At 45.6% G+C, this 20,147-nt stretch overlaps 2 protein-coding genes across 5 annotated transcripts in view, besides 2 other annotated features; one reads left to right on the plus strand and one right to left on the minus strand.

The window, feature by feature from the left end:
- The window catches only part of MMP24-AS1-EDEM2 (MMP24-AS1-EDEM2 readthrough), a 162,759-nt gene that overhangs the window by 51,594 nt on the left and 91,018 nt on the right, over positions 1–20,147 (minus strand). The window lies entirely within an intron of this gene.
- Positions 4,139–20,147, plus strand: part of PROCR (protein C receptor) — a 45,164-nt gene continuing 29,155 nt past the window's right edge. Inside the window, exons 1-5 of one of the 4 annotated variants that reach the window (XM_047439830.1) lie at positions 4,139–4,262; positions 5,132–5,267; positions 7,745–7,996; positions 9,211–9,489; positions 9,741–10,405. In XM_047439830.1, the coding sequence (XP_047295786.1) occupies positions 4,218–4,262; positions 5,132–5,267; positions 7,745–7,996; positions 9,211–9,489; positions 9,741–9,856 (828 nt within the window). In that variant the 5' untranslated portion in view covers positions 4,139–4,217 and the 3' untranslated portion in view covers positions 9,857–10,405. Of the gene's footprint in view, positions 4,263–4,878; positions 4,938–5,114; positions 5,268–7,744; positions 7,997–9,210; positions 9,490–9,740; positions 10,406–20,147 lie in introns of those variants that run through there. The other 3 variants (XM_047439831.1, XM_011528496.2, NM_006404.5) reach the window with 3 other exon arrangements.
- Positions 7,228–7,930: an enhancer, noted in NCBI's record as "H3K4me1 hESC enhancer chr20:33761988-33762690 (GRCh37/hg19 assembly coordinates)". NCBI's record gives its function as "activates a minimal SCP1, AML or CMV promoter by ChIP-STARR-seq in naive H9 embryonic stem cells {active_cell/tissue: H9 hESC(naive)}" and the evidence as "EXISTENCE:reporter gene assay evidence [ECO:0000049][PMID:30033119]".
- Positions 8,633–9,335: an enhancer, noted in NCBI's record as "H3K4me1 hESC enhancer chr20:33763393-33764095 (GRCh37/hg19 assembly coordinates)". NCBI's record gives its function as "activates a minimal SCP1, AML or CMV promoter by ChIP-STARR-seq in primed H9 embryonic stem cells {active_cell/tissue: H9 hESC(primed)}" and the evidence as "EXISTENCE:reporter gene assay evidence [ECO:0000049][PMID:30033119]".

The raw sequence follows: 20,147 nt of genomic DNA on the forward strand, positions 1-20,147 counted from the left end.
CGGCTTACTGCAACCTCCACCTCCCGGGTTCAAGTAAGTCTCCCACCTCAACCTCCTGAGTAGCTGGGATTACAGGCACGCCACCATGCCCAGCTAATTTTTGTATTTTTAGTAGAGACGGGGTTTTACCATGTTGCCCAGGCTGGTCTCAAACTCCTGACCTCAGGTGATCCATCCACCTTGGCCTCCCAGAGTGCTGGGATTACAGGCATGCCCAGTCCCATACTTTCTGAGTTCAAATCCTCGCTCTGCACTTCCAAGCTGTGTGACCTTGGGCAAGTTACTTAACTATTTTTCTGGGCTTTGATTTTTTTTTTTTTTTTTTGTACAGAGGAGCAGAGGAGGATTCATCAGGTTGCCCAGGTTGGTCCAAACTCCTGGGCTCAAGGGATCCTTCTGCCTGGGCCTCCCAAAATGCTGGGATTACAGGCATGAGCCACCATGCCCAGTTTTTTTGGTTGTTGTTTGTTTTGTTTTGTTTTGTTTGAGACAGGGTCTCTTTCTGTCACCCAGGCTGGGGTGCAGAGGCACAGACATAGCTCACTGCAGCCTTGACCTTTTGACATCCTGGGCTCAAGCCATACTCCTGCCTCAGCCTCCCAAGTAGATGGGACCACAGGTGTGTACTACCATGCCTGGCTAATTTAAAAAAAATTTTTTTGTAGAGATGGAGTCTCATATGTTGCCATGCTGGTCACTAATTTACAGGCATGAGCCACTACACCCAGGCAGCTTTATTTTATTTATTTTTTTGTCTGTAGCATGGAAACAATGAGCATGGTCTGCCCCAGAGAAAGTGATTAAAGGCCTAGCACATAGTATGAATTTAAAGAATGTTTTATAACATATATATTAAACATTCAAGCATGTTGGAGGTATGTGTTAAAAAAATGTATTGATGGAAAGTGATCAAAATAATTTTTGAGTCACTGTGTGGGAGTTAAATTCACAAACTTTGGCACCAGAGAGAGAGAGAAACTTTCAAATTATAGCTTTTGCTGTGTGACCTTAGGTAAGTCACTTAACCTCTCTGAGCCTCAGTTTCTTAGTAAAATGGTGATGCTAGTGAAACCCATTTCACAGGGCTAGCATAAGAATAAAGTAAGATTATTTAAGTAAAGAGCCGAACACTGTTTCTGGCCTACAATAAGTGTTACCTATAATAATGCTATCATTGTCTCACTGTTCAATTTTCAGGGCTCTAGTATATGAGAGGGGTGCTTGGGAAATAGCTGTTGCTGCTGCTATCTGTCCATGATGGATCTTAACCTGATTAGAAAGGCCTCCATGTGGCTGGGCGTGGGGGCTCGTGCCTGTAATCCCAGCACTTTGGGAGGCCAAGGCAGATGGATCACTTGAGGTCAGGAATTCGAGACCAGCCTGGCCAACATGATGAAACCCTATCTCTACTAAAAATGCAAAAATTAGCCAGGCATGGTGGCACCTGCCTGTAATCCCAGCTACTTGGGAGGCTGAGGCAGGAGAATTGCTTGAATCCAGGAGGTGGAGGTTGCAGTGAGCAGAGATCATACCATTGCACTCCAGTCTGGGCAACAGAGCGAGACTCCATCTCAAAAAAAAAAAAAAAAAAAGAAAGAAAGAAAAGGAAAGAAAGCCCTTGATGTAATGAGCTCTGTGTAAGATAATGTGGATGAAAGTGGACCCAGACCCTACCCGCTTAGATGGAAGGCTCACAGCATTCAATTCCAAATTGGTTCAATCGTACACTCTTTTGCCCTCTCTTATCCATCCCAAAGTACCCTTCAAGCCTTCAAGGGAGAAAAAAGGCAAAGCAAAAATATGCACAACCTCACTAAGAACCAGAAAAATGCAAACTAAAACCAAAGAGAAATGCCATTTTACACCCAACCATCTGATAATGCCAAGGGCTGGCAAGGATGTGAAGCGAGGGAATTCTCATACACTGCTGGGAACGTAAATTGGCACAACCTTTCTGTAAAACAGTTTGGCAATATCTAGTAAAACTGAAGATGCATATACTTTATTACTCAGAAATTCCACTGTCAAGTTTGCACCTACAAAAACTCCCACATATGCACAAGGACTCGAGTATGAGAATGTTCATACCAGCACTGTTTGTAATAGCAAAAAACTGGAAAAAACTTAAGTGTTCAGCAACAAGAGAATGGATACATAAATAATGATCTATTCCCAAAATTGATTTTTTTTTTTGAGACAGGGTCTTGCTCTGTTGCCCAGGCTAGAGTGCAGTGGCATGATCATGGCTCACTGCAGTCTCAACCTCCTGGGCTCAAGCAATCCTCCTACCTCAGCCTCCTGAGTAGCTGAGACCACAGGCACAACCCATCACACCCAGCTAATTTTATTTTTTTTGTAGAGATGGGGGTCTCACTATGTTGCCCAGGCTGGTCTTGAACTCCTGGGCTCAAATGATCCACCCACCTCGGCCTCCCAAAGTGCTGGGATAATACCTCCCCAGCCGGAATATTTTAAAGCAGTGAAAATGAATGGTCTACACATAGCCACATGAATGAATCTTATTAATACATTAAGTGAAAAAAGCAAAAGGTACAGAGGAATACATACATTTTAATACCATTTATATAAAGCTCAAAATATGTGAAATACCACTATCTATTGTTTAGGGATATATACATAAGTAGTGTAAGTATACAGAAATATAAGGAAATGAAAAATATCAAATCTTCATTTTCATCTGAAGTGGTTACTTCAGGGGCTGTGGCAGGGAGAGAGAGATGCAGCTGAGGAAGAGTCCATAGGGGGCTTCAACTATATTAGCAATATTGTATTTCTTATGCTTGGTGGTGGGGATAGGTATGTTTGAAATGTAATCCTTTAAGCATGAAATAACTCTTCAAAAATGAAATATTTCAGGCTGTGCACAGTGGCTCAGGCTTGTAATCCCAGCATGTTGGGAGGCTGAAGTGGGCGGATCACCTGAGGTCAGGAGTTTGAGACCAACCTGGCCAACATGGTGAAATCCCATCTCTACTAAAAATACAAAAATTAGCCAGGTGTGGTGGCAGGTGACTGTAATCCCAGCTACTTGGGAGGCTGAGGCAGGAGAATCGCTTGAATCTGGGAGGTGGAGGTTGCAGTGAGCCGAGATCACGCCACTGCATTACAGCAAGACTCCATCTCAAAAAAAAGAAAAAAAAAAAGAAAAAAGAAATGTTTCATAATTTTTAATAAAAGGCAAGACAATATAAATTGGTAGTTATTTAAGTCATTCTACTTTTCCTGAGGCCCAGTGCAGGAAAACAAAGTTCCTATCCTTGTTCCAACTAGACCATTTTGATAAGCTGCAAAAAGAAAAGACTTTGATGCTATTTCTTAGCCAGTTTGCAACAGCTGAGAGGTGAGCATGGAAGCTCTTGCATATATTCAGTTCAGAGAATGGGTGCTTAGTTTATGTCCAGAGTTTGTCCCAGATTTCACTATGACGTCAGCTCTCCGGGGAGAAGTATATAAAATAAAAAGTTAAAATCCCTCTCAGTCCTTTACCCAATCCTATTCCCCAGAGGTAATCTCTATTGACAGTACCCCTCCAGATATTTTCCCTATGTATATACAAATACACAGATACACACTGAAAGTTAATTTTGGCCAGGTGCAGTGGCTCCTGCCTATACCAGAGGATTGCTTGAGTGCAGGAGTTCAAGACCAGCCTGGGCAACATAGCGAGACCACATCTCTAGTAAAAATAAAAAAAAATAGCTAGGCGTGGTGGCACAGTGGCACGTACCTTTAGTCTCAGCTACTCGGGTGGTTGAGGTGGGAGAATCACTTGAGCCCGGGAGGTCAAGCCTACAATTAGCTGTGATTGCTTCACTGCACTATAGCCTGGGCAACAGAGCTAGACCCTGTCTCAAAAAAATAATAATAAATTTTATATATATATATGAGGATGAAATTACATATGTATTATTTGAACAGAAGTGAAATCTTTTCTTTTTTTTTTTCAGACAGAATCTTGCCGCATGACCCAGGCTAGAATGCAGTGGTGTGATCTCGGCCCTCTGCAACCTCCACCTCCCAGGTTCAAGCGATTCTCATGCCTCGGTCTCCCAAGTAGCTGGGATTACAGGCATGCACCACCATGCCCAGCTAATTTTTGTATTTTTCGTAGAGACGTTCGCCATATTGGCCAGGCTGGTCTCAAACTCCTGGCCTCAAGTGATCTGCCCACCTCGGCCTCCCAAAGTGCCAGCAGCATGCTCGGAGGAGTGACTTTAAAGCTTTTCTACTTGCTTCCTAGAGTAAGGGACGCATTTTACACTGCTATCCAAAACTCATCATAGAAACATACACACACAAAACCAAAGCACACATATACAACTGAGCAAATATTTCATGACATAACACTTTCTCTTACTAAGGGTGACGCGCTGAAATTTTGTATTCTGTCCTATTTCATTTTTTAAAAATGGTAACCATGACCTGCTAAATTGATTTCATTGTCCACTAATAAATTATGACCTCAGTTTCAAAAAGATTGCTTTAGGTAACCAATCATCTTCTGAGATTTATACAGATTGCTCATAATTCTCTCCTATTTTTTAAAAACATGCTGCAGTGAACTGCTTTACACTCATTTTATGACTACTTCTGAGACCAAGATCCCGGATTATGTAATTGTTATTTACTTAAAATTCTGGTAAAATGTAGCCATTATACTGGAAAACTAAATTTTAATCTTGGATCTGTCACCACCATGATATATAAACTTTGGGCAAGTCCCTGCACCTCTCTGGACCTCAATCTCCCCATCAGCAACCTGCTGATCCTACTCCCAGGAGTGTGCTCTAAGTTGAAAGTAGATGCCCCACCCCCTGAGTCAGCGCCGGCAGGACTTCTCACCAAGCCCTTCTCCCCCTTTTCCGCTCCCTGTTCCTGGTTCCTAGGAAGCAGCCCAAGGAGAAGGGAAAAGGCAGGTCTGGGCAGGAGGGAGCAATGAAGGGCGGGGCAGAGGGAGGGCAGGAGGGAGGCCGGCCCCCTAGTAGGAAATGAGACACAGTAGAAATAACACTTTATAAGCCTCTTCCTCCTCCCATCTCCTGGCCTCCTTCCATCCTCCTCTGCCCAGACTCCGCCCCTCCCAGACGGTCCTCACTTCTCTTTTCCCTAGACTGCAGCCAGCGGAGCCCGCAGCCGGCCCGAGCCAGGAACCCAGGTCCGGAGCCTCAACTTCAGGATGTTGACAACATTGCTGCCGATACTGCTGCTGTCTGGCTGGGCCTTTTGTAGCCAAGACGCCTCAGATGGTGAGTCGGGGGCACATCTCCTGCCTCAGGATGGTTCTGGAGAATCTCAGTCTATCTGGGCACATGGCAAGACCACAGGAGAGCTTATCTCACAGCATCTGTGTCTGCAGCTGGCTAGATCTCTCTACAGGGCAGGCAGAGTCTTGGGGACTGGTTCGTGTCCCAAAGCCAAGGTGAGTTAGTACATTTAAGCCCCTGAAAAGGGGGAGATGAAAGAGGCTAGGGGAAACAGGATGACTGGAAACATGAGAAAGAAACCAGCAGAGAGGGTAGGAGAATCAGCCCCAGGGAGAGGGGAGAAAGGGGAACTGAGGGTGATGGTAGATAGGGGTACATCTAGGGGAGACGGGAAGAGGCTCAGAAGAGAAGAGAAATGGAGGGAATGGGAAGACCCTGGGAAAACTGATGGAAGAAGTGGGGGAAGAGTGGGGCAGAGAGAGGTTAGGGGAGGCTAGGGAAAATGGAAGGAGACTGGTCGCAGCTGGTGGAACTGGGGAGAAAGAGATGCTGTGCCTAATAGAACTTATGGGCGATCAGGCTACTGAAGTGGCCCTGTTTAAGCAGAAAAGGGAGTTATTACCCTCCATTATAATTGCACAGGGGCCTCCTTTCCCCTCTCTCACAATCCCCGTAACTTCAGTCTCCCCCTCAGAGAGGCAGCAAATAATAACCAGTATTCAATGAGTGCTCACTATGGTTAATACATGTATTGACCCATTTAACTTGCACAAACCCCTAAAGGTGGGTAATATTATTACTATCTCCATTTTATGAGGAGGAAACTGGGTCACAGAGTAGTTAAGGACCATGTCTAGGGTTATCCATAAATATACTTATTCACATCTGCAGATACAAAGCACAACTTCTCAAATGCAAACACAGACAGGACCCACTCACACACACAGATTTACAACCCCGGACTCATCCAAATGTGCTCTGGGCATCAACTCTGTGCCAGCCTCTTTTCTGGGTGTAGGAAGCAGAGATTACCAAGCATGGTTCCATAGCCTAGAGGAGTCCAGTGTGGCCTGTGTGTGTTTGGAGACAGCCAGGTAGTATCCCGTGAGATACACACTAATATATGGTGGTCTGGGATCACTGAAACAGACACACTGTGTCTCGTGGGGCATCAGAAAAAAATTTCCAAGAAGAGGGCAACTGAGCTGGGTCTTTTTTTCTTTGCTTTTCTTTCTTTTTTCTTTTTTTTTTTTTTTTTTTTTTTTGAGATGGAGTCTTGTGCTGTCACCCAGGCTGGAATGCAGTGGCACAATTTCAGCTAACTGTAACCTCCAACTCCCAGGTTCAGGCGATTCTCCTGCCTCAGCCTCCTGAGTAGCTGGGACTACAGGCATGTACCACCACGCCTGGCTAATATTTGTATTTTTAGTACAGATGGGGTTTCGCCATGTTGGCCAGGCTGGTCTTGAATCCCTGACCTCAAGTGATCCGCCCGCCTCGGCCTCCCAAAGTACTGGGATTACAGGCATGAGCCACCGCGCCCAGTCTCTGAGCTGGGTCTTAAATCATGAATAAACTTCGCCAGGCAGAAAAAGGGAGGCAGAGCAATCCTGACATGCTATTCATGTGTCAGCCAAAGGCAGCATGAGGAATCCCAACTAGTTTGATATATAAGCAGCGGGAAGCGGCCAGAAAAGGCAGCAGGGGCCAGGTCTCTAGCAGCCTTGAATGCCAGGCTAAAGACTCTGGACTTGATCCTGTGGGGAGGCAGTGTAGCAGAATGGCTGAGTGCTGGACTTGACTGCCTACGTGCAAACCTTGGCTCTGCTACACTATCTCTGTCTCAGTTTCCCATGTAGACTGGGGTTAATAATAGTAGCTATTGCATTAAGCCACTGGGGAAAGGCACAAAGATAATAATGTATGTAAAGCCCATTGCCCAGGTTATAATAAGCACTGAATCGACATTGGCTATGATTATTTTTGATTAATGAAGGGGAGGGGGTTATGGCACTGGAAGATTTTAAGTAGGAAAAGGACATGATCTCATCCCTGGGTCAGGTGGAGGTCGGAATAGAGAACGGGGAGATGAAGTAGAAAGTTACTACCCCAGTCTAGATGAGACGGATGAATCCTGAATCAGGGCAGTGGAAGAGGAGATGGAGAACAGGCGATGGAATTGGAATTTTATTCAGGTCAGGATTTGTTAACCATTTGTTCCGTTGGTTAACAGGAAACGGGGGGAGGGAGAGCCGAGGGTGAAAAAGGAGGCAGAAAGGAGTGTCTCTTCCACTGCAGGCCTCAGTTTCCTCATCTGTAAAACGGAGATAATAATCCCTGTCCTGTCCTCCTGGCAGAGTTACTGTCAGCGTCAAACGGGAGAAGCGGTGGGAGGGCACATTATAGTTTATGAAGGGTCGAGAAGGCGGGCGGCCAGCCTCGAGGTAGGGGGTTATTATCTTCCGCTGCCCGCCGCCCCCTCCCACGCCGGCCCAGGCTGAAGCTGACTCTGCCCGCAGGCCTCCAAAGACTTCATATGCTCCAGATCTCCTACTTCCGCGACCCCTATCACGTGTGGTACCAGGGCAACGCGTCGCTGGGGGGACACCTAACGCACGTGCTGGAAGGCCCAGACACCAACACCACGATCATTCAGCTGCAGCCCTTGCAGGAGCCCGAGAGCTGGGCGCGCACGCAGAGTGGCCTGCAGTCCTACCTGCTCCAGTTCCACGGCCTCGTGCGCCTGGTGCACCAGGAGCGGACCTTGGCCTGTGAGTAGGCGCGCAGCGGGGGCGGGGTCTGGGCGGGGCTAGTGGGGGCGGGGCCTGGCGGGTGGGGGCGGGGCCTGGCGGATGGAGGCGGGCTGGGACTTGCAGGGACCCGGCAGCCACTGGAGCTCGGTGGCGCCTGGGCCTTTGAAGATTGCTGGGTGGGGGCTGGAGAGAGGCAGTTGTCCCCGCTAAGAAAGCCCCGACTCGGGCGGTCGTCCTGCTGGCATAACCTCTTGGGATAGACCCTGTTGGAAGGCCCTGACACCGTGACGTCGAAGGTCCCCAGAAAACTCCTCACCCCTCGCCTCACAGTCCTCCAACTCCTTTTCTTCATAGATCTCCGTCCTTCCCTTCCCACAGCCCCCAGCACTTCACCCCCCACCCTCCAGCCACTTCTCATACAAGCTGATGACTTCGCTCTTAGCTCCACTCATGACCCGAACTCTTCCCCCAAAGACCCCAAGTTCTTCTCTCAAAGCCCCACTCCTTCCCCGTCACAACCCTAACTCCTTCTTCTCAAAGACCCCAATTTCTTTTCTCAAAGCACCAAGCACCACTCCGTCCCCCTTCCCCCACCATCATGGCCTTTAACTCCTTTCTCTCCTAGTCCCCCACCCCACCCCCCTTTTTTTTTTTTTTTTTTTTTTTTGAGACGGAGTCTTGCTCTGTCGTCCAGGCTGGAGTGCAGTGGCGCGATCTCGGCTCACTGCAACTTCCGCCTCCCGGGTTCAAGCGATTCTCCTGCCTCAGCCTCCCAAGCAGCTGGGACTACAGGCACCCGCCACCACGCCCGGCTAATTTTTTGTATTTTTAGTAGAGACGGGGTTTCGCCATGTTGGCCAGGCTGGTCTCGAACTCCTGACCTCAGGCGATCCACAAGCCTGGCCTCCCAAAGTGCTGGGATTACAGGCGTGAGCTGCCGCCCCTGCCCCAGCCTCACCCCCTGTTTTTTTTTTCTATTACAGTTGAACAAGGCCTGACAATTCCCTTTTTTCATCACAGTCCCTGGCCCCTTCTTTCTTAGCCTCTAACAGGCTAACCCCAAACCCCTCCTCACAGCCCCAGGCCCTTCTCCCCATAGTTCCCTGACCTAGACTCCCCTCTCCTCACAGCACTGACTCTTGCCTTCTCATGTTCTTTTCCCCTTGGTGGGCCTCGCCCCACACCTGGCACCCTCTCTGCACAGTCCCCTGACCCTGACTGTCTATCCACAGTTCCTCTGACCATCCGCTGCTTCCTGGGCTGTGAGCTGCCTCCCGAGGGCTCTAGAGCCCATGTCTTCTTCGAAGTGGCTGTGAATGGGAGCTCCTTTGTGAGTTTCCGGCCGGAGAGAGCCTTGTGGCAGGCAGACACCCAGGTCACCTCCGGAGTGGTCACCTTCACCCTGCAGCAGCTCAATGCCTACAACCGCACTCGGTATGAACTGCGGGAATTCCTGGAGGACACCTGTGTGCAGTATGTGCAGAAACATATTTCCGCGGAAAACACGAAAGGTATGATGGGACGGGGCCCAGGCCTGCAAGCTGGGGAGAGGGCGGGTTCCAGACAAATGGATGGACCTGAAGGATGGATGCCTAGAGCAACAAGAGGCCCACAGCTGGGGGTTTGGGACAGAACACACGCAGCTTCAGTCAGTTGGTAAACGGGTCCCTTTCCTCTGGGGCAGAAACGCTTTGGGGTTTGACTCAAATCATGGACTCCTTGGGGGCCTATTCTTCGGGCTAACTCTTTGCATGTTCTGCAGGGAGCCAAACAAGCCGCTCCTACACTTCGCTGGTCCTGGGCGTCCTGGTGGGCAGTTTCATCATTGCTGGTGTGGCTGTAGGCATCTTCCTGTGCACAGGTGGACGGCGATGTTAATTACTCTCCAGCCCCCTCAGAAGGGGCTGGATTGATGGAGGCTGGCAAGGGAAAGTTTCAGCTCACTGTGAAGCCAGACTCCCCAACTGAAACACCAGAAGGTTTGGAGTGACAGCTCCTTTCTTCTCCCACATCTGCCCACTGAAGATTTGAGGGAGGGGAGATGGAGAGGAGAGGTGGACAAAGTACTTGGTTTGCTAAGAACCTAAGAACGTGTATGCTTTGCTGAATTAGTCTGATAAGTGAATGTTTATCTATCTTTGTGGAAAACAGATAATGGAGTTGGGGCAGGAAGCCTATGGCCCATCCTCCAAAGACAGACAGAATCACCTGAGGCGTTCAAAAGATATAACCAAATAAACAAGTCATCCACAATCAAAATACAACATTCAATACTTCCAGGTGTGTCAGACTTGGGATGGGACGCTGATATAATAGGGTAGAAAGAAGTAACACGAAGAAGTGGTGGAAATGTAAAATCCAAGTCATATGGCAGTGATCAATTATTAATCAATTAATAATATTAATAAATTTCTTATATTTAAGGCATTGTTATCTCCTCCACTTTGCAAAATTTCTGGAAAAGTAACCTATACCCATTTCTTCTGCTTCCTTATTTCTCACTCATTCTTTTTTTTTTTTTTTTTTTTTTTGAGACAGAGTCTTGCTCTGTTGCCTAGGCTGGAGTGCAATGGTGTGATCTCAGCTCACTGCAACCTCTGCCTCCCGGTTCAAGCAATTCTCCTGCCTCAGCCTCCCAAGCAGCTGGGATTACAGATGCATGCCACCACACCCAGCTAATTTTTGTATTTTTAGTAGAGATGGGGTTTCACCACGTTGGCCATCCTGACCTCGTGATCCGCCTACCTCGGCCTCCCCAAGTGCTGGGATTAGACGTGAGCCACTGCGCCTGGTCTTCTCACTCATTCTTAGACCCAGTGCAATCTGACTTCTCTATAAACTACTCTGAGATCACCAGTAACCTCTAATTGTCAAACCATCACCCTACATGGTATCTGCAAATTTGCGGACTAGAACTCTCTTTTTGCCTTAACTTCTGAGATACCATACTTCAATTTTTAAAACTGTTCTGTCTACTTTTTTTCAATCCCTTTGACTATGTCATCTTACACGATTCACCCTGGAAATGCTGGCTTCCTTAGAATTCCATTTTTTGGTTCCTTTTGTTCCTGTTTGAACTATACCCTTTCTAGGTGACCTACTGACCTTCATGGCTGCAAATACTATCTACCTGTGGTTTCCATGGAGAAGCAATATAATTTTATCTTTAAGAGCATGTGTTTTGTCGGCCAGGCGCGGTGGCTCACGCCTGTAATCCCAGCACTTTGGGAGGCCGAGGCGAGAGGATCACTTGAGGTCAGGAGTTCAAGACAAGCCTGGCCAACACAGTGAAACCCTATCTCTACTAAAAATACAAAAATTAGCTAAGTTTGGTGGCACGCGCCTGTAATCCCAGCTACTTGGGAGGCTGAGGCAGGAGAATCACTTGAACCCGGGAGGCAGAGTTTGCAGTGAGCTGAGATCACACCACTGCACTCCAGCCTGGGCAACAGAGTGAGATTCTTTTTTTTTTTAATTCTAAAAAAAAAAAAAAAAAAAAAAGAGTATGTGTTTTGTCATCAGACTTAAGTTTTACTTCTTTGAACTAGAAATTTAACTTCTTCAAGTCTCAGTTTTTTTTTTTTTTTTTTTTTTTTTTGAGACGAAGTCTCGCTCTGTCGCCCAGGCTGGAGTGCAGTGGCGGGATCTCGGCTCACTGCAAGCTCCGCCTCCCGGGTTCACGCCATTCTCCTGCCTCAGCCTCCCAAGTAGCTGGGACTACAGGCGCCCGCCACTACGCCCGGCTAATTTTTTGTATTTTTAGTAGAGACGGGGTTTCACCATTTTAGCCGGGATGGTCTCGATCTCCTGACCTCGTGATCCGCCCACCTCGGCCTCCCAAAGTGCTGGGATTACAGGCGTGAGCCACCGCGCCCGGCCTAAGTCTCAGTTTTTTTTGTTCCCAAATGGTATTAATAAAATATACCAAAGGGTCTAAGAAAAACAATACCCAATTCATAAAGGCATGAAGAGTATTAAATAAAAGTATATATGTAAAATAATATGCCAAGCGCAAGCTGGGCACGGTGGCTCATGCCTGTAATCCCAGCACTTTGGGAGGCCGAGGCGGGCGGATCACAAGGTCAGGAGATCGAGACCATCCTGACTAACACAGTGAAACCCTGTCTCTACTAAACAAAAACAAAAAATTAGCCGGGCATGGTTGCGGGCGCCTGTAGTCCCAGCTCCTCGGGAGGCTGAGGCAGGAGAATGGCATGAATCCGGGAGGCAGAGCTTGCAGTGAGCCGAGATCACGCCACTGCACTCCAGCCTTGGCGACAGAGTGAGACTCCATCTCAAAAAAAAAAAAAAAAAAAAAAATGCCAAACGCAATGACTGGCTCACACCTGTAATCCCAACACTTTGGGAGGCAGAGGCAGGAGGATTGCTTGAGCTCAGGGGTTTGAGACCAGCCTAGACAACATAGTGAGACCCTGTCTCTACAAAAAAAAATAGAAAAAATTAGCTGGGCATGGTGGTGTGGGCCTGTAGTTCCAGTTACTCAAGAGGCTGAGGTAAGAGGATTGCTTGAGCCCAGAAGGTTGAGGCTGCACTGAGCCATGATCGTGCCACCACACTGCAGCCTGGCAACAGACCAAGAAAAAAAAAAAAAGATAGTGTATGTATAGTCAGTAAATACAGCAGTGGCTTCTGATCTCCAGACCTCTCATTTGCATTGATTCTTTAAAATCATCTCTACCTTAATGTTCTGTAGACATTTCAAAATCAACATGTTCAAAATCAAATTTATTATCTATCTCCCCAAATCTGCTCTCTCTACTTCTGATGTTTACTGTTCATTAATGGATAACAGAATAACCATCAAATCATGTAAGTGGAGAGAACTCAGTGTTAACCTTTATTTACTCCCTCTTATTTATCCCCATCTACCAACTACAGTATCTATAAAACACATTCACTCCTTTCTACCCCATTGCTTTTGTTCAAGATATCATAATTCCTCTCTTTCTTTGTGGTAAACATGAAGGTGTACCATCCAGTTCTACCTCCAAAGAAAGACTTCCTGTTGGCCGGGCATGATGGTTCACGCTTGTAATCGCAGCACTTTGGGAGGCCGAGGTGGGGGGATCACCTGAGGTCAGGAGTTGGAGACCAGCCTGGCCAACATGGCGAAACCCTGTCTCTACTAAAAATACAAAAATTAGCCGGGCGCGGTGATGCACGCTTGTAATCCCAGCTACTAGCAGGGGCTGAGGCAGGAGAATCTCTTGAACCCAAGAGGCAGAGGTTGCAATGAGCTGAGATCTCGCCACTGCACTCCAGCCTGGGCAACAAGAGCAAAATTCCATCTCAAATAAATAAATAAATACATAAATAAGAAAAAAAAGACTTGCCGTTCAGCTATAGGGGGAATAGCCAGCAGATAGCTTCCGCTTGCTTCAGTTCTTTCAATGTCTGCCTCAGCTGTAGAGGACAGTCCTGCACAAGATCATGCCCATCCCAGGGCTGCCCTCACTCGGTGCCTAAGCAAGGCAGGGGTATAAAAGTTCGGTCATTTTGGCCAACTGCAGGACAACTCTGAGAATAGGTTGGATTGACAAGGGCTAGCCAGGGCTGGAAATATTCACTCCAGAGCTCCCTGCCAGGGAGGCTGGGTCTTTGTCAGATCTGCATTGCCGTTTGACTTCTCTCTTAGCTCAGCCCTACTTCTTCCCCCTGGTAAGCATCTTGCACCTCAAACTCTGTCTCAGCCTCTGCTTCCAGATAACCCAACTTGTGTGTGTGTGTCTCTCTCTCTTTCAAAATTGAGAAATTTTCTCAATCTTGTCTGGACCATGGCAGCAGCCTCCTCCTAAGAAATTGCCTCTAATTTCTCCATATTTTAATTCATCTTCTACATGGCAGTAAGAAACACAGATCTAATTGTGTCATTATTCCGTTTTTTGTTGTTGTTTGTTTTTTGTTTTTTGTTTTGTTTTGTTTTGTTTTGAGACAGAGTCTCTCTCTGTCACCCAGGCTGGAGTGCAGTAGTGTGAACTTAGCTCACTGCAACCTCTGCCTCACAGGTTCAAGCAATTCTCCTGCCTCAACCTCCCGAGTAGCTGGGATTACAGGCATGTGCCACCACGCCCGGCTAATTTTTTGTATTTTTAGTAGAGTCGGGGTTTCACCATGTTGGTCAGGCTGGTCTTGAGCTCCTGACCTCAAGTGATCTACCCGCCTTGGCCTCACAAAGTGCTGGGATTACAGGCGTGAGCCACCACGCCTGGACTGTTTTTTAAATTTCTCATTGAGTTAAATTCAGAATCCTCAAAATGACATTCAAGGCCTTGCACAATGTGGCCCCAACCTAATTTTCTAATTTAATTTTAATTTAATTTTATTTTATTTTATTTTGAGATGGAGTCTCACTCTGTCACCCAGGCTGGAGTAAAGTGGTGCGATCTCTGCTCACTGCAACCTCCACCTCCTGGGTTCAAGCTATTCTCCTACCTCAGCCTCCCAAGTAGCTGGGATTGCAGGCATGTGCCACCACGCCCGGCTAATTTTTGTATTTTTAGTAGTGACGGGGTTTCACCATGTTGGTCAGGCTGGTCTTGAACTCCTGACCTCATGATCTGCTCTCCTTGGCCTCCCAAAGTGCTGGGATTGCCGGCGTGAGCCACTGTGCCCGGCCCCTCAAATTTTATTTTCTACCATTTCTCTTTAGCCACTGTGCCTTAGATTATTTATTTTAAAAGCATATTTTTAAATGACGGAAGTGGTACAACAACAGCAATAACAGAGAAGTTTACAAAGAAATTTCATAAAGGAAAAACGGAACGCCTCCTGCTTTCTCATTCTCCCCAAATCCTTACTCCAGAGGTATGCTAAGATTATTAGTTGCAAGCAACAGAAACCAATTCTGCCAACTTAAGGGGAAAATAAGTATATTGGAAGGTTATTAAGTAATCCTCAGAGTTGATGGGAAAGCCAGATAATCAAGCTCAGAAAGTAGAACCAGGGACCACAGCCAAAGTCACACCACAGGAATGGTATTAAGGATGCCACAGCTGGAAGCACTACCTCCATCACCAATGCTGCTGCCATATTAAAGGAATTCTCCTCTGACCCTGTGTCTTTACATCATTTGTTCAAGAGTCAATATCCTGAGTGGAAGCAGCCAAATGACCAAGCCTTGATCATGTTGCTTTTGCCTTAGCTGCAAGTGCAGGGGGGAAAAGGAAAACTTTAGATACCTTTGACTTCTCTTGTGGGAGGTGAGAACCTGTCTCCCATTAAGACTCACACAGAGGAAGAGATTTCAGATGCTGGGCAACCAAAACAGGTACAGGTGATTTTAAAGAATTGATGCAAATGAGAAGCCTGGAGATCAGTAGCCACTGCTGTATTTACTAACTCTACATATATTATCTTTTTTTTGAGACAGACTCTTGGTCTGTTGCCCAGGCTGGAATTGGTGGCACGATCATGGCTCACTGCAGCTTCAACCTCCTGGGCTCAAAAAACAGAACAAAAGAAAAATAAAATAGAAAAGCAAAAACAACAAAAACCCATAAATGTTCACTATATCTCACATCATTAATTTATTTACTCGTTTAATAAATGTTTGTCAGAAACTTCCATATAGAAGGCTTTATGTTATGTACTTTGGAAGACACAAAACGATTAGGATATGATCCTTCTCAAGGAGCCCAGTCTTTTCTTGGGAAGATAAAACATACAAAAGAGAACAACACAAGGCAAGATGCATTGTATAACTAGAAGAAACACACAAATAAAAATGTGATGTTATGTGGCCGGGCATGGTGGCTCACGCCTGTAATCCCAGCACTTTGGGAGGCTGAGGTGGGCAGTTCACCTGAGGTCAGGTGTTCGAGACCAGCCTGGCCAACATGGTGAAACCGTCTCTACTAAATATACAAAAATTAGCCAGGCATGGTGGCACGTGCCTGTAGTTCCAGCTACTCAGGAGGCTAAGGAAGGAGAGTAGCTTGCACCCAGGAGGCAGATGTTGCAGTGAGTTGAGATCGTGCCACTGCACTCCAGCCTGGGCGACAGAGCGAGACTCCGTCTCAAAAAAAAAAAAAAAAAAAAAAAAAAGGAAAGAAAGAAAGAAAAATGTTATGCTCTGATTTACTCTTGTAGCTATCATTTACATATTGCTATATAGTTTTTGGAATTCTGTAACTTGCGTTTATCATTTAATACTCTCTTTGGTCTTGTAAGATAGATATAATCATTTTAGATTAGGAGACATGTTTAGGGAGAATAAGAAAGTTAATAACTGATATGGTTTGGATGTTTTGTCCCTCCAAATCTCATGTTGGAACGTGACCTCCATTGTTAGAGATGGGCATAATGGGAGGTGTTTGGGTCATGGGGGCAGATCCCTCATGAATGGCTTAACACCATCCTTTAGTGTTGAGTGAGTTCTTGTTCAGTTAGATTACACATGAGATCTCGTTGTTTAAAAGGATCTGAGACCTCCCCTCCTCTTTCTTGCTTCCTTCTGTCTCATCTTATATGCCTGCTCCCCCTTTGCCTTCCAACATGATTGAAAGCTTCCTGAGGCCTCACCAGAAGAAGATGCTGGTGCCATGCTTCCTGTACATCCTGCAGAAGTGTGAGTCAAAAATAAACCTCTTTTCTTTTATAAATTAGCCACTTGCAGGTATTCCAGTATAGCAGCACAAGAATTGACTAATATAGTATCAGAGCTAGGATTCAAACCCGTGCCTTTGTGTTCTAGGATTTATGCTTTCTCTCCTCTACTAAAACTGCAGGAATCAGAGGAATCTAGGGGAGAAACATGGTATTTGTGAATTGGTGAGATATGACCATGCCCAGATAGGAAAGATAGACAGAACAGATTCAATAATGAAAATAGGAAAAAGCAGAGTAAATTTTAGACATTTCTTAAAGAAGATACACCAGTGGCCAATAAGCACATGAAAAGATGCCCAACATCGTTATAGTCATTATGGAAATGCAAATCAAAACCATGAGATACCACTTCATACCATCAAGAATGGCTATAGGAGGATGGATAGAATCAATATTGTGAAAATGACCATACTGCCAAAAGCAATCTACAAATTCACGCAGTCCCCATCAAAATACCACCATCATTCTTCACAGAGTTAGAAAAAACAATTCTAAAATTCATATGGAATCAAAAAAGAGCCCACATGGCCAAAGCAAGAGTAAGCAAAAAGAACAAATCTGGAGGCATCACACTACCTGATTTCAAATTATACTATAAGGCCATAGTCACCAAAACAGCATGATACTGGTATAAAAATAGGCACATAGACCAATGGAACAGAATAGAGAACCCAGAAATAAACCCAAATACTTATAGCCAACTGATCTTTGACAAAGCAAACAAAAACATAAAAGTGGGGAAAGGACACCCTTTTCAACAAATGGTGCTGGGATAATTGGTTAGCCACAGGTAGAAGAACGAAACTGGATCCTCATCTTTTACCTTATACAAAAATCAACTCAAGATGGATTGAGGAGCTGGGCGTGGTGGCTCACGCCTGTAATCCTAGCACTTTGGGAGGCCGAGGCGGGCAGATCACGAGGTCAGGAGATTGAGACCATCCTGGCTAACACGGTGAAACCCATCTCTACTAAAAATACAAAAAATTAGCTGGGCGTGGTGGCGGGCGCCTGTAGTCCCAGCCACTCAGAAGGCTGAGGCAGGAGAATGGCGTGAACCCAGGAGGTGGAGCTTGCAGTGAGCTGAGATGACGCCACTGCACTCCAGCCTGGGTGACAGAGCGAGACTGTGAGACTCTGTCACAAAAAAGAAAAAAACACAAGATGGATTAAGGACCTAAACCCAAGACCTGAAACTGTAAAATTTCTAGAAGATAACATTGGAAAAACCCTTCTAGACATTGGCTTAGCCAAAGATTTCAAGACAAAAAAACCAAAAGCAGTTGCAATATAAATAAAGGTAAATAGCTGGGACCTAATTAAACCAAAGAGCTTTTGCACGGCAAAAGGAACAGTCAGCAGAGTAAACAGACAACTCACAGAGTGGGAGAAAATCTTCACAATCTATACATCTGACAAAGGACTAATATCCAGAATCTACAATGAACTCAAACGAATCAGTAAGACAAAAAAAAAAAAAAAAAAAATCAATCCCAACAAAAAGTGGGCTAAGGAGATGAATAGACAATTCTCAAAAGAAGATATACAAATAGCCAACAAACATGAAAAAATGCTCAACATTACTAATGATCAGGAAAATGCAAATCAAAACCACAAAGCGATACCACCGTACTCCCATAAGAATGGCCATAATCAAATAATAAAATAATAGTAGACGTTGACGTGGATGCAGCAATCAGGGAACACTTCTACACTGCTGGTGGGAATGTAAACTAGTACAGCTGCTATGGAAAACAGCGTGGAGATTCCTTAAAAAACTAAAAGTAGAGCTACCATTTGATCCAGCAATCCCACTACTGGGTATCTACCCCGAGGAAAAGAAGTCATTATTCAAAAAAGATACTTGCACACGCAAGTTTATAGCAGCACAATTCACCATTGCAAAATCGTGGAACAAACCCAAATGCCCATCAATCAATGAATGGATAAAGAAACTCTGGTATATATATATGATGGAGTACTACTCAGCCATAAAAGGAATGAATTAACAGCATTTGCAATGACCTGGAGGAGATTAGAGACTATTATTCTAAGTGAAGTAACTCAGGAATGGAAAACCAAACATCATATGTTCTCACTGATATGTGGGAGCTAAGCGATGAGGATGCAAAGGTATAAGAATGATACAATGGACTTTGGGGACTTGGGGCAAAGAGTGGGAGGGGGGTGAGGGATAAAAGACTACAAATATGGTGCATTGTGTACTGCTTGGGTGACGGGTGCCACAAATCTCCACCAAACAACTTACTCATGTAACCAAATGCCACCTGTACCTCGATAACTTATGGAAAAATAAAATTTTAAAAAGAATGGCTATAGGAAAAAAGACAGACAATAACAAGTGTTGGCAAGAATGTGAAGAAATTGGAACCCTCATACATTGCTGGTGGCAATGGTATAGCACTTTGGAAAACAATTTGACAGTTCTTCAAAAAGTTAAACATAGAGTTATTGTGTGGCCCAGCAAGTCCGCTCCTAGTATATGCCCAAGAAAATTGAAACATACATCCATGCAAATACTTGTACATGAATGTTCACAGAAGCATTATTCCTAATAGCCAAAAATGGTAATAATCCAAATGTCTGTTAATTGATGGAGAAACAAAATGTAGTATTTTAATACAATGGAATATTATCTAGCCATGAAAATGAGGTACTGACACATGTTACAACACGGATGAGCCTTAAAAACATGATAAGTAGTCCGGGAGCAGTGGCTCTCGCCTGCAGTCACAACACTTTGGGAGGCCAAGGCGGGTGGATCATGAGATCGGGAGTTCAAGACCAGCCTGACCAACATGGAGAAACCCCGCCTCTTCTAAAAATAGAAAATTAGCCGGGCATGGTAGCACATGCCTGTAATCCCAGCTACTCGGGAGGCTGAGGCGGGAGAATCACTTAAGCCCAGGAGGCTGAGGTTGCGGTGAGCCAAGATCGCGCCATTGCACTCCAGCCTGGGCAACAAGAGTGAAACTCCATCTCAAAAAAAAAAAAAAAAAAAATGATAAGTAAAAGAAGCCAGTCACAAAGAACCAGGTATTATATGATTCAACACACGTGAAACATCCAGAATAGGCAATCTGACCAGGCACAGTGGCTCATGCCTGTAATCCCAGCAATTTGGGAGGCCAAGGCAGGTGGATCACAAGGTCAGGAGATCGAGACCATCCTTGCTAACATGGTGAAACCCTGTCTCTACTAAAAAAAAAAGTACAAAAAAGAGCTGGGCATGGTGGCACGTGCCTATAATCCCAGTTACTCGAGAGGCTAAGGCAGGAGAATGGCGTGAACCTGGGAGGCGGAGGTTGCAGTGAGTGGAGATTGCGCCACTGCACTCCAGCCTGGGCAACAAAGCAAGACTCTGTCTCAAAAAAAAAAAAGAAAAAAAAATAGCAATAGCTGTTTAAGTCAGTGGCCTGCAAAACATGTTAACAATTAGGTCAATTCCTTCTTTGCGCTTCCTCAATCCATAGTTTGATCTATCTTCCTCCAAATCTGCTCTGTCACTCAGGCTGGAGTG

This window comes from Homo sapiens, chromosome 20 (genome assembly GCF_000001405.40).
Source record: "Homo sapiens chromosome 20, GRCh38.p14 Primary Assembly".
In the NCBI taxonomy this organism is placed as follows: domain Eukaryota; kingdom Metazoa; phylum Chordata; class Mammalia; order Primates; family Hominidae; genus Homo; species Homo sapiens.